General features: G+C 42.0%; 2 protein-coding genes across 5 annotated transcripts in view; both read right to left on the bottom strand.

Annotated features, from left to right (window-relative positions):
- Window positions 1-14,407, bottom strand: part of HSPE1-MOB4 (HSPE1-MOB4 readthrough) — a 53,321-nt gene that overhangs the window by 15,327 nt on the left and 23,587 nt on the right. The window contains exon 4 of the mRNA NM_001202485.2: window positions 2,743-2,843. Coding sequence (NP_001189414.1) covers window positions 2,743-2,843 — 101 coding nt within the window. The remainder of the gene's footprint in view (window positions 1-2,742; window positions 2,844-14,407) is intronic.
- MOB4 (MOB family member 4, phocein) overlaps window positions 1-14,407 on the bottom strand; it is a 38,146-nt gene that overhangs the window by 15,327 nt on the left and 8,412 nt on the right. For all 4 annotated transcript variants that reach the window (NM_199482.4, NM_015387.5, NM_001100819.3 and 1 more), the window contains one exon: window positions 2,743-2,843. In NM_199482.4, the coding sequence (NP_955776.1) occupies window positions 2,743-2,843 (101 nt within the window). The remainder of the gene's footprint in view (window positions 1-2,742; window positions 2,844-14,407) is intronic.

The following is a 14,407-nucleotide window of genomic DNA, read 5'->3' as shown; positions in this document are numbered from 1 at the left end:
ATAAAATGTACACAATACAATAAAGAGATAAAAGAATATATACGATAGTTAATATACAACCCAGACCAAAAAGTGGCTAGTAGAAAAAAATAACAAAAGTAAAAATAGCACCAGAACAAATGAAATACTTGTGAGAAATATTTCATGTAAAGTTTTATGTAATGTTTTATATAATGTTTCATAGAATAAGTTAAATAGGGAGATAAATGTTTTCTTAGATCTGAAAAAAAAAAAACCCTTGTAACACTAAAATCAGCCCCTATTTGTTAGGAATTATGCTTGTAATGGAAAAAACGGCCAAGTGTGGTGGCACACGCCTGTAATCCCAGCACTTTGGGAGGCCAAGGTGGGCAGATCGTGAGGTCAGGAGATCAAGACCATCCTGACCAACATGGTGAAACCCCATCTCTACTAAAAATACAAAAATTAGCTGGGCATGGTGGCGTGTGCCTGTAGTCCCAGCTACTTGGGAGGCTGAGGCAGGAGAATCGCTTGAACCCATGTGGCGGAGGTTGCAATGAGCCGAGATCACACCACTGCACTCCAGCCTGGTGACAAAGCGAGACTCGAGACTCTTGTCTCAAGAAAAAAAACATAAGAAAGCAGTTATTTTCAAGGCTGATAAAAATAAAGCAAAGGATGTACTACACTAAAGTGCTCTCTGTCTTGGGTTGTAAAAATGGGAAAATATCTACAGACTCGTACTTTGAATTATTGTGCATTCATATATATTAAAAAGTTAGAAAATAGTCAAGTAATTTGTCTAAAAACTGGCAAAGGATACAAAGAAGTCTTAGCATCCTGAAATTGCTGAACTGTTATGACACGACATAATGTCTTAGCCATTTCTAAAGAAGCATGCAGCATCAAAAAGTAAATATTTTTAAAAAGTGCCTTGTCTACAAGTTGAGGCACACAACACAGGAAACATGGTCTAATTTATTCAGGAAAAGTCATATTTCTACTCTATTTATCTAAAAATCAACTTACAAATAATAAGCCCCAATGAACACATACTGCATTCTCTATATTTATTAATAATCTGTCAACTCATCCCAGCTCCCATTTGCACTGGAAAATTTATAATTTCAAGAAACACCTAGTAACTTCAGAATATATCTACTTTTAATGTTATCTCCACCTATCCACTAGTTATCAATTTTTTCATTCAAAGGGCATTATAAAAAGCACCAAAACTCCTTACTTCAGGATTACAATTAATCTCTATTTACCAAAGAGAAGACTGGAAGTTTGCAATAATTTACAGGTAACTTATCAGATACCAAGCCTAGACTAGGAACTGGAAGTAATCCTCTACAAAAACATAAAGTGGCCAAGTGCAGTGGCTCATGCCTGTATAATCCCAGCACTTTGGCAGGCTGAGATGGGAGGATCACTTGAGCCCAGGATTTCAGGACCAGCTTGGGCAACACAGTGAGACCCCATCTCTACAGAAACAAAGGAAAAAAAAAAGACAAGTCAGGCACGGTGGCTCACACCTGTAATCCCAGCACTTTGGGAGGCTGAGGCGGGCAGATCATGAGGTCAGGAGTTCGAGACCAGCCTGGCCAACATAGTGAAACCCCATCTCTACTAAAAATACAAAAATTAGCTGGGCATGGCTGCGCCTGTAGTCCCAGCTACTCGGGAGGCTGAGGCAGAAGAATCACTTGAACTCGGGAGGCAGAGGTTGTGGTGAGCCGGGATCACACCACTGCACTCCAGCCTAGGCAACAGAGCAAGACTCTGTCTCAAAAAAAAAAAAAAAAAAAAAAAAGACAAAAGATGACACAGTTATGCAAAAATGGGGAAACGGAAATACTATATTAGCGGTTAAGAGATACAATTAAGGAAAATCATGAAATAAGAATAAAACCCAGGCTGGCATGGTGGTAATCCCAGCACTGTGGGAGGCCAAGGTGGGTGGATTGCTTAAGCCCCGGAGTTTGAGACCAGCCTAGGCAACATGGTGAAACCTTGTCTCTACAAAAAATACAAAAAACTAGCCAGGCTTAGAGGCATGCACTAGTAGTCCCAGCTACTCAGGAGGCTGAGGTGGGAGGATTGCTTCAGCATGGGAGACAGAGGCTGCAATGCGCCAAGATTGCACCACTGCATTCCAGCCTAGGCAACAGATCAAGACCCTGTTTCAAAAAAAAGGCGGGGATAATAAGGCCCAAATGAATAAATGTAGAAAGGGTGGCTCAATACTTTGGGAGGACAAGGTAGGAAAATTGCTTGAATCCAGGAGTTTGAGACTAGCCTGGGCAACACAATCAGATCCTGTCTCTACAAAAAATTAAAAAATTAGTGAGGCATGCTGGCACACACCTGTAGTCCCAGCTACTCTGGAAGCTGAAGTGGGAGGATCACTTGAGCCTAAGAGGTAGAGGCACAGTAAGCAGTGATTACACCACTGCACTCCAACGTGGGCAAGAGAGTGAGACCCCATCTCAAAAAAAAAAAAAAAAAAGAAAAGAAAAGAAGAGAGGTGCAGAGGCAGGTCCAAATTATCAACTCTGAAATAAACCACCTTTCAAAATGAGTGACTCTGCAGCATAATTTGACCTGGAAACAACCAGTGAAGAAAGCTGAGAACCTTGTGACACTGAAAATGCCAAAGCTTTAAAATTTGGCTTCTTAGTCTGCAGTTACATAGTAAATTTTACAATTCATAATTATCATTAATATGAAAGCTAGTTTTGTGAGAGGTACTATTAGTATTTTGATGTAAGGTCCTACCTTAAATGTTCATACTTCCACACACCTTCATCTTGGCCTTCAGGTGGTTCAAGAATTTTGTCAATATTGGAGCAATCTGCTCTTATGTTCTGTTGAATATACTAAAAACAAAGAAGTTCTTATGGTTAATTAAATTATATCACCTGGTAAATCTTATGTTAAGTACATATAATTTGTTAATACATAACTGCTCTTGTGGTTCAACTTGGGTTATACACTAAATAGGAAACCAAGTATAGAATCATAATCAGTAACTAAGAAAAAAAGTAGGTTACCCTTACTTATTTATCCTTCAATTCAACTTCATTTGGATAGAATCTACTACATAAATGCAGATATTGTATTTGTCAGGACTGGAACTTGGATCAAAATTGCAAACCATAATTTCTTTTTTTTTTTTTTTTTTTTGAAACAGGGTCTCACTGCATCACCCAGGCTGGAGTACAGTGGCACAATCTCAGATCACTGCAATATCCACCTCCTGGGCTCAAGCAATCCTCCCACCTCAGCCTCCTGAGGAGCTGGGACTACAGGCACACGCCATCACGCCGGGCTAACTTTTCCATATTTTGTAGATACAGGATTTCACCATAGGCAATGTAAATATAACTATGGTACATATTGTGATTTGGTTTATATGAAGTGTCTAGAGTAAGAAAATCTATTGAGACAGGAAATAGATTTGTACTGGTGTAGGGCTTGAGGGCAGAGAGGAAGGCAGAAGAGACTGAAGATGGCTGCTAATGAGGGTGAGGTTTCCTTTCAGGAAGGATAAATATGTTCTAAAAGGCCGGGCGTCGGGGCTCATGCCTGTAATCCCAGCACTTTGGGAGGCCGAGGTGGGCAGATCACAAGGTCAGAAAATCGAGACCATCCTGGCTAATATAGTGAAACCCAATCTCTACTAAAAATACAAAAAAATTAGCCAGGCGTGGTGGCACACACCTGTAGTCCCAGCTACTCTGGAGGCTGAGGCAAGAGAATCGCTTGGACCCGGGAGGCGGAGGTTGCAGTGAACCAAGATCGTGCCACTGCACTCCAGCCTGGGCAACACAGTGAGACTCCATCTCAAAAACAAAACAACAACAAAAAAGCTTTAAAATTAGACTGTAGTGATGGCTGTGCAACCCTGTGAATATAATCACTCTAACTGTATAGGGATTTGTATGGTATGTTCATTAGATCCAATAAAAGTTGTTTTAAATGACTAACAGAAAAAACTAAGTTTAAAAAAAAAGGCAAGGGAGGGTCACTTTCAATTTTTAAAATGTAATAACATAAAAATTTAAATTTCAGATCTCTGTAATGCTTTATGCAATCTTTTTGATATTCTGAAGTCTAAATACGTTAGAACAGATTAAAAGGGTGGTTACAAAAACTTACTAACTATAAGGCCTTCTTGAGCCAATCAATTTTGCCTACTTCAGACAATCTTTCTTGAATATCACTTGCTTACTCAAAAACTTTTTTTTCCAAACAAAAGGTCTCACATATTTAGTACTGAACCAGCCTACTGCAGAGCATAGAAACCAAAAGAAAAACCATTGTTCCAATACAGCATGTACAACTGTCCAGATGATGGTGACATTTTCAGCTTGATATGGTGACATGATAGTGACCTTGATGCAATATTAAGTATGTGTGCCATCTCATGTAAAATTCCTTCTAGACCCAGCTTGGTTCTTTTCCAATGTCTCCTCTTAGAGTTGTACCTGATTTTATTACTCAGTTTTCATCTGAATCCACTGGGGAATGGGACGATTTTGCTTTTGTTTCTTGGCCAGGAATCACTTGATTCTAAAAGTCTTAAAGTCTTGTGGGAAGGCATGGCAAAGAACTGAGTCACACGCACACACCATGATGACAGGGAAAGGGATCAAATACTTTTTTTTTTTTTTTTTTTTTTTTGAGGAGTTTTGCTCCTGTCGCCCAGGCTGGAGTGCAATGGCTCAGTCTTGGCTCACTGCAACCTCCGCCTGCCGGGTTCAAGCGATTCTCCTGCCTCAGCCTCCCGAGTAGCTGGGAATACAAGCACCTGCCATCACGCCCGGCTAATTTTTGTATTTTTTGTAGAGACAGGGTTTCGCCATGTTAGTAAGGCTGGTCTCAAACTCCTGACCTCAGCTGATCCACCCGCCTCGGCCTCCCGAAGTGCTGGGATTACAGGCATGAGCCACCGTACCCAGCCTCAAACACTTTTTAATGACTCTTTAATTACTATTGAAACCACTCTCCCTGATTTTTTTTATCTCATCCTAATGTTTCAAAGTTTTGATTCTCTCTCTCCTTGAGGAGATACAGCTAAATTGTATACCTTCTCCAAAGGCCACCTCAAATTCCACATCACAATTCTGTCCAAATCTCTCGTTCCCCCAACACACTCAAGCACTCCCTGATTATTCGAATCCTCACAGAACTCCATCCAATTTCCTGCCACATTTGTAATTTGTATATATTAGCAATCTGTCTATTCATTTTTGTCTTTCCTGTTCCCACTACACCTTCTATGGATAGAAATTTTTTTTTGTTTTTGAGATAGAGTCTCACTCTGTCGCCCAGGCTGGAGTGTAGTGGCGCAATCTCAGCTCACTACAACCTCTGCCTTCCGGGTTCAAGTGATCCTGTTGTCTCAGCCTTCCAAGTAGCCGGGATTATAGACATGCGCCACCATGCCCAGCTAATTTCTGTATTTTTAGTAGAGATGGTGTTTCACCATGTTGGTCAGGCTGGTCTTGAAGTCCTGACCTCAAGTGATCCACCTGCCTCAGCTTCCCAAAGTGCTGGGATTACAGCGTGAGCCACCGCACCCAGTCTTCTATGGCTAGAACTCTTAGTAGCATTTATTTCACACTTAATAGCACAACTTACTAACACTTACTTTCATGTGTCTCCTTCATATAGTGAGTCCCTGAACACAGAGACTTTTATTTACTTATTTTTTTTTTGAGATAGAGTTTCGTTCTGTCGCCCAGGCTAGAGTGCAGTGGCGCTATCTCGGCTCACTGCAACCTCTGCTTCCTGGGTTCAAGCAATTCTCCTGCTTCAGCCTCCCAAGTAGCTGGGATTACAGGCGTGCGCCCACAACACCTGGCTAATTCAAGACTGCCTAGGCTAATTCAAGACCGCCTAGGCTAATTCAAGACCCCTTAAGCTAGTTTTGAACTCCTGGGCTCAAGCAATTCTCCCACCTCAGCCTCCCAAAGTACTGGAATTACAGGCATGAACCACTGGGCCCACCCCAATTTTAATTATTTAACCATATATTTAGAAACTGACTTTACTTATATAATTACTAAATTTTGTTATTAAGTGGAGTTACAAGCTGTCAATCTTGAAGAAATCTAGAATCCTTTTATTGATACCAATTTATATAAAGCAAAAAAGAAATCCTTAACTTAGAAATAAAACAAAAATGCCATTTTGGCCAGTCACAATGGCTCACTCCTGTAATCCCAGCACTTTGGGAGGCAGAGGCGGGCAGATCACCTGAGGTCAAGAGTTCAAGACCAGCCTGGCCAACATGGTGACACACCATCTCTACTAAAAATACAAAAACTGGCCAGGCATGGTAGCACACGCCTGTAATCTCAGCTACTGGGAGACTGAGGCGGGAGAATCACTTGAACCTGGGAGGTGGAGGTTGCTCTGAGCAGCAATCACACGCTACTGCACTCCAACCTGGGAGTGAGACTCTATCTCAAAAAAAAAGTCATTTTGTTTTCTATAATGAGTCCTCCACACTTTTATGCAATAAAAGCAACTATCATTTTTAAAAAATCAGCTAAGAAGGCTGGACGAGGTGGCTCCTGCCTATAATCCTAGCACTTTGGGAGGCCGAGGCAGGTGGATCACGAGGTCAGGAGTTCGAGACCAGCCTGGCCAATAGGGTAAAACCCCATCTCTAATAAAAACACAAAAATTAGCCGGGCATGGTGGCACATGGAGGCTGAGGCAGTAGAATCACTTGAACCCGGGAAGCAGAGGTTGCAGTGAGCCAAGATCATGCCACTGCACTCCAGCCTGGGCGACAGAGCAAGACTCCGTCTCAAAAAAAAGGTACTTGAAGAAATAATGCTGAAAAGTTTCCAAGTTTGTAAAAAGATATAAGCTTGCAAATTCAAGAAGCTGAGTAGGCTGAGAAAAAAAAGAGGAATAGGGAGTTATTATTTAATATGTATAGAATTTCAGTTGGGGAAGATGAAAAAGTTCTGGACACGGTGGTGATGGTTGCACAATGGGAATGTACTTCATGCCACAGAACTGTACACTTTAAAATAGCAAAAATGAGGCCGGGCGCAGTGGCTCACGCCTGTAATCCCAGCACTTTGGGAGGCCGAGGTGGGTGGATCACGAGGTCAGGAGATCGAAACCATCCTGGCTAACACGGTGAAACCCCGTCTCTACTAAAAATACAAAATAGCCGGGCATAGTGGCGGGCGCTTGTAGTCCCAGCTACTCGGCAGGCTGAGGCAGGAGAGTAGCGTGAACCTGGGAGGCGGAGCTTGCAGTGAGCCGAGATCGCGCCACTGCACTCCAGCCTGGGAGAAAGAGCGAGACTCTGCCTCAAAAAAAAAAAATAAAAATAAAAATAAAAATAAAATAGCAAAAATGATAAATTTTATGTCTCATATATATTGCCACAATTTAAAAAAAGCTGAGTGAACATCAAACAAGATAAACCCAAAGAAATCTACATCCAGATACATCATAATCAAATGGCTAAAACCCAAAGATAAGTCCAGGTGTGGTAGCTCAGGTCTGTATCCCAGCACTTTGGAAGACCAAGGCAGGAGGATCACTCAAGCTCAGGAGTTAGAGACCTTGGGCAACACAATAAGAGCCCATCTCTACAAAACATAAAAATTAGTCAGGCATGGTGGTGCATGCCTGTAGTCCCAGCTACTTGAGAGGCTGAGTTGGAAGGATTGCTTGAGCCTAAGAAGTCCACTGTACACCAGCCTGGAATGACAGAGTGAGACCCTGTCTCAAAAAAAACAAAGAAAAAAACACCACTAAAGAAGCCAGGAGAATTTGAATGACAGATTCTTTCTCATCAGAAACCATGGAAGCAAAATGGCAAAACATTTTTAAAGTGCTGAAAAACTTAGCAGGCTGAGGCAGGAGGACTGCTTGAGGCCAAGAGTTCAAGACCAGCCTAGGCAACATAGCGAGACCACATTTCTACAAAAAAAAAAAAAGTCAGCCAGGGGTGGTGTGCTCCTGTAGTCATAGCTACTCAGAAAGGTGAGGTGAGAAAATCTCTTAAGTCCAGGAGTTTAAGGCTGCAGTAAGCTATGATTGTACCACTGCACTCCAGCCTGGCAACAGAGTGAGACCCTGTCTCAAAAAAAAATAAAAATAGAGTCCAGGCATGGTGGCTCACACCTGTAATCCTAGCACTTTGGGAGGCCGAGGAGGGTGGATCACAAGGTCAGGAGTTCAAGACCAGCCTGGCCAAGAAGGTGAAACCCCGTCTCTACTAAAAATACAAAAATTAGCCAGACACGGTGGCAGGCGCCTGTTATCCCAGCTACTAGGGAGGCTGACGGAGGAGAATCGCTTGAACCCAGGGGGTGGGGATTGCAGTGAGGCGAGATCGCGCCACTGCACTCCAGCCTGGGAGACAGAGTGAGACTCCATTTCAAAAATAAATGAATAAAAATGAAAATAAGGCCAGGAGGCCAGGTGGGGTGGCTCACGCCTGTAATCCCAGCAATTTGGGAGGCTGAGGCGGGCAGATCACAAGGTCAAGAGATCGAGACCATTCCGGCCAACATGGTGAAACCCCGTCTGTACTAAATATACAGAAATTAGCTGGGCACGGTGGTGTGCGCCTGTAGTCCCAGCTACTCGGGAGGCTGAGGCAGGAGAATGGCTTGAATCTGGAGGCAGAGGTTGGAGTGAGACGAGATTGCACCACTGCACTCCAGCCTGGGCGACAGAGCAAAACTCCATCTCAAAATAAATAAATAAAAATAAGGCCGGGCACAGTGGCTCACACCTATAATCCCAGAACTTTGGGAGGCTGAGGTGGATGGATCACTTGAGGTCAGGAGTTCAAGACCAGCCTGGTCAATATGGCAAAACCCAGTCTCTACTAAAAATAGAAAAATGAGGCGGCTGTGGCGGCATGCACCTGTAGTCCCAGCTACTGGGGAGGCTGAGGCAGGAGAATCGATTGAACCCAGGAGGTGGAGGTTGCAGTGAGCCAAGATCACGCCACCGTACTCCAGTCTGGGTGACAGAGCGAGACTCTATCTCAAAAAAATAAATAAATAAATAAAATAAAAATAAAAATGTGCTGAAAGAGTTGTCAAGCCAGAATTCTATATCTAACAAAAATATTATTTAGAAATGAAGATCAGCTGGCCGCGGTGGCTCATGTCTGTAATCCCAGTACTCTGTGAGGCTGAGGCAGGCAAGTCAAGAGTTCAAGACCAGCTTGACCAACATGGTGAAACCCTGTCTGTACTAAAAACACAAAAATTAGCTGGGGGTGGTGGCGCATGCCTGTAATCCCAGCTACTCGAGAGGCTGAGGCAGGAGAACTGCTTGAACTCATGAGGCTGAGGCAGGAGAATTGCTTAAACTCAGTGAGCCGAGATCGCGCCACTGCACTCCAGTCTGAGTGACAGAGCGAGACTCTGTCTAAAAAAAAAAAAAAATTACTAAAGGAAGTTCTTCAGACAGAAAATAATACAAAGAAAATTGGGAGGCCAGGCGCGGTGGCTCACGCCTGTAATCCCAGCACTTTGGGAAGCCGAGGCGGGCAGATCACGAGGTCAGGAGATTGAGACCATCCTGGCTAACACAGTGAAACCCCGTTCTCTACTAAAAATACAAAAAAATTAGCCGGGGGTGATGGCGGGCGCCTGTAGTCCCAGCTACTCGGGAGGCTGAGGCAGGAGAATGGCCTGAACCCAGGAGGTGGAGCTTGCAGTGAGCAGAGATTGTGCCACTGCACTCCAGCCTGGGAGACAGTGTGAGACTCCGTCTCAAAAAAAAAAAAAAAAAGAAAAAGAAAAAGAAAAAGAAAATTGGGAACATCAGGAGCAGGGAGCAGGAGACATTGTAAATATCTGGGTATAAATATAATAGACCATTCTTCTCATGACTTCTTTAAAATATGTTTGACAAGTGAAAGTAAAATGATTAACGATGGGGTTTTCAATGTATATTGATGTAATATACAGCAACTATAGTATAAAGGGGGAGCAAAAGGGGTGCATATGATAGTAAAGTTTCTACATTTCAAGTAAAGTGGTAGAATACTGATTTTCAGTAAACTGCGCAGGTACCCATTTAGTAATCAAGTATATAAATATGTCAAAATTAGAATTAAAACAGAATACTAAAAATGTTCAACTCACCCTTAAAAAGACAGAAAAGGGGAAACAGGAACAAATGAAAAGCCCAGAAGGAACAAATTAAAAAGTAATAAAACGGTAGGTCTAAATCTAAATAATAGTAAACATTCAGCACATCAATGTTAAATGGTCTGAACATACCAATTAAAAGAGAAAGTCTGTCAAAATGAACTAAGAAATATGACTCAACCATATGCTGTCTACAAGAAACTTATTTCAAACGTAATTATATAGGTATGTCAAATCATGAAAAAAGAAATACCATACAAATATAAATCAAAAGAAAGTTATCAGGAATGCAAAGATGGTTCAACATTTTTAAAAAAACAACAACAATGCAATATACTACATTAATATACAAACGGAAAAAAGCACACAATCATACCAATGCAGAAAAGATATCTGACAAAATCCAACATATTTTCGTGATAAAACCACTCAGAAAACTAGGTTTAAAAGGAAATTTCCCCAACATGATTAAGGGCATTCATGAAAAGCTCACAGCTAACCTCAGACTCAAGGGTGAAAAACTAAAAGCCTTTCCAACCCAAATGAGACAAGGATGCTCACTTTCACCACCGCTATTCAACACTGTACTAAAAGTTCTAGCCAGAGCAACTAGACAAGATAAAGAAATAAAACGCATCTCATTTGGAAAGGAAGTGGTAAAACTATCTCTATCCACAAATGACATGATCCTATATATAGGAAATCCCAAAGAATCCACAAGAACGTTACTCTAAGTGAAAAATGATTCAGCAAAGTTGTAGAATACAAGATGAACACATAAAAATCAGTTTTGTTTCTATATACCTGTAAGAATCTAAAAAGGAAGAAAGCAATTCCACTTACAATAGCACCTAGAAACTTTTAAATACCTAGAAATAGATTTAAATAAGGAGATAAAATTTTTTGCAGACGGAAAACTACAAAACATTGCTGCAAGTAATTAAAGAAGACCTAAATAAATGGAAAGACATCTCGTGTGCATGAGTAAGAAGGCTTAATATCGTTAAGATGTCAATGCTACCTAAAGCAATCTAGAGATACGAGGCAATCTCTATCTAAATTCCAATCGACGCCCCCCTTTTTTTTGCAGATACGGAAAAGGTGATCCTCAAATTTATATGGAATTGCAAGGGTTTCTGAATAAACAAAAAAAATCTTGAAAATAAAGAACAAATTTGGTCAGAGCATGGTGGCTCATGCCTGTAATCCCAGCCGAGGCAAGAGGATCACCTGAGCCAAGAGTTCAAAACCAACCTGGGCAACATTGCAAAATTCTGTCTCTATTAAGAAAAATAAAATAAGGAACAAAGTTGGAGGATTCACACTTCTTGAGTTCAAAACTTACTACAAAGCTACAGTCATCAAACACTGTGTGATACTGGCATAAGGATAGACATACAGACAAACAGAAATAAAGAAAGAACCCAGAAATAACGTGTCACATACATGGCCAAAAGATTTCGACAAGGCTGCTGAGACCATTCAATAAAGAAAGGAAAGGCATTTAAACCATTTTTAAGTGTACAATTCAGTGGCATTAATTATATTCCCAATGTTGAGCAACCAAAGAAAACCCTGGGCCTAACAACTTCACTAGTAAACATTTAAAGAAAATACCAAACATTTAAAGAAAAATTAATGCTGGGCGTGACGGCTCACACCTGTAATCCCAGCACTTTGGGAAGCCAAGGCAGGTAGATCACGAGGTCTGGAGTTCAAGACCGGCCTGGCCAAGATGGTGAAATCCTGTCTCTAACTAAAACTACAAAAATTAACCAGGCGCAGGGGCGGGCGCCTGTAATCCCAGCTATTCAGGAGGCTGAGGCAGGACAATCGCTTGAACCCAGGTGGCAGAGGCTGCAGTGAGTTGAGGTCACGCCACTGCACTCCAGCCTGGTGACAGAGCGAGACTGTCTCAAAAAAATAAAAAAATAAAAAAAGTAAGAAAAAGAAACACATGATCATCTCAATAGGTGCAGAAAAAGCATTTGACAAAATTTAACACCATTTTATGATCTAAAAAGCACTGAATGACCTACGAATAAAGGAAACAACTTCAATATAATAAAGACCATATATGAAAAATCCATAGTGAACATCATACTCAACAGTGAAAAACTAAAAGCTCTCCTCTAAGATCAGGAAGAAGACAAAGATGCCCTTTTTCACCACTTTTATTCAAAGTAGTACTGGAAGGTCTAGCCAGAGCAATTAGGCAAGAAAAAGAAAGAAAACAGATCTAGATTGGAGAAGTAAAATTATATGACATGGGTCTCGTATGTAGAAAACCCTAATGATTTCACATCCAAAAAACCTGTGAGAATAAATGAACAAATTCAACAAACAGGACACTTCCCCCTATTTTTAAAGAGATAACCATCTGTACATTTTTCTTCAAAATTTAACCAATTTCTAGGCATAGAGCTAGATCTAGGTTTATATTCCTTTATCTTCCACAAGGCCTAACTCATTGCTAGCTATATCGTGAGAAGCCAATAAATATTTGCTGATTGAACAGCACTTTTTCTTTTTTTTTTTTTTTTTTGAGATAGGGTCTCTGTCACCAGCCTGGAGTGCAGTGGTGCAATCACAGCTCACCATAAACCCTTTCCTCCCACCTCAGCCTCCTAAGTAGCTAGGACTACAGGTGCACGCCACCTAGCCCAACCTTTTTATTTTTTACAGAGACAGGGTCTCACTATATTGTCCAGGCTGGTTTCAAACTCCCAACCTCAAAGTGATCCTCCCTCCTCGGCCTCCCAAAGTACTAAGATTACAGGTGTGAGCCCCCACACCCAGATGGGTGGTTTTTAATGCTCAAATAATTCAACTATATGTCTCTTTTATTTTCTAAGATCTTCAAATAACATAACAAATCCGAATAGCTGTCTACTTTTTTTTTTTTTTGAGATGGAGTCTTGCTCTGTCCCCCAAGCTGGAGTGCAGTGGCACGATCTCGGCTCACTGCAGGCTCACTGCCTCCCAGGTTCACATCATTCTCCTGCCTCAGCCCCCGAGTAGCTGGGACTACAGGCACCCACCACCACGCCCGGCTAATTTTTTTATATTTTTAGTAAGAGATGGGGTTTCACCATGTTAGCCAGGATGGTCTCGATCTCCTGACCTGGTGATCCGCTCGCCTTGGCCTCCCAATGTGCTGGGATTACAGGCGTGAGCCACCGCACCCGGCCAGCTATCTACTTTTATTATCTGGCTATCAAAATGAAGCCAAACAGCCTCGATTTATGGTATATTTTCCCTTTAAAAATGTTATCATCAGCCAGGGCAACATGGTGAAACCCCATCTCTACAAAAAATCAGCCAGATGTGGCAGTGTGCGCCTATAGTCCCAGCTACTTGGGAGGCTGAGGTAGAACAATCACCTGAGCCCAGGAAGTTGAGGCTACATTTTGCCATGCTTGAGCCACTGCACTCCAGCCTGGGCAACAGGGTGAGACCCCGTCTAAAAAAAAAAAAGACAGGTGCAGTGACTCATACTTGCAATCCCAGCACTTTGGGAGGCCATGGTGGGTGGACTGCTTGAGCCCAGGAGTTCAAGGTGGGCAGCATCGCAAAACCCTGTCTCTACTAAAAATTCAAAACAAAAAAAATTTAACCAATGCCTAATCCAATATACTAGTACGCTCCAATTTATATTATCTTTTTATTAGCCCCTTAATGAAATTGTATTTTTGTTTTTGTTTTTGTTTTTTTTTTTTTTTTTGAGACAGAGTCTTGCTTTTGGCCAGGCTGGAGTGCAGTGGCATGATCTTGGCTCACTGCAACCTCCGCCTCTTGGGTTTAAACGATTCTCCTGCCTTAGCCCTCCCGAGTAGCTGGGACTACAGGCACATGCCACCATGTCTGGCTAATTTTTTATGTTTTTAGTAGAGACAGGGTTTCACCATGTTGGCCAGGATGGTCTTGATATCCTGACCTAGTGATCCACCTGCCTCGGCTTCCCAAAATGCTGGGATTACAGCTGTGAGCCACCACACCTGGGCTATTTTTATTTTTTTAAGATACAAGATCTCACTCTGTCACCCAGGTTGAAGTACAGTGGCACAATCATAGCTCATTAGACCCTTGAAGTAGGATCAAGTGATCTCCCCACCTCAGACTCCCTAGCTACTGGGACTACAGGTGTGTGCCACCATGCCTGGCTAATTTATCTTTTCGTAGAAACAGGGTCTTGTTATGTCGCTCAGGCTGGTCTTGAACTCCTGGCCTCAAGTGATTGGCCTCCCAAAGTGCTGGCAGCCACAGTGCCCAGCTTAATATGCCATCTT

This window comes from Homo sapiens, chromosome 2 (assembly GCF_000001405.40).
Source record: "Homo sapiens chromosome 2, GRCh38.p14 Primary Assembly".
NCBI lineage: Eukaryota > Metazoa > Chordata > Mammalia > Primates > Hominidae > Homo > Homo sapiens.
Note: the sequence above shows the minus strand (reverse complement) of the source record. Positions and strands in the feature narration are given on the sequence as shown.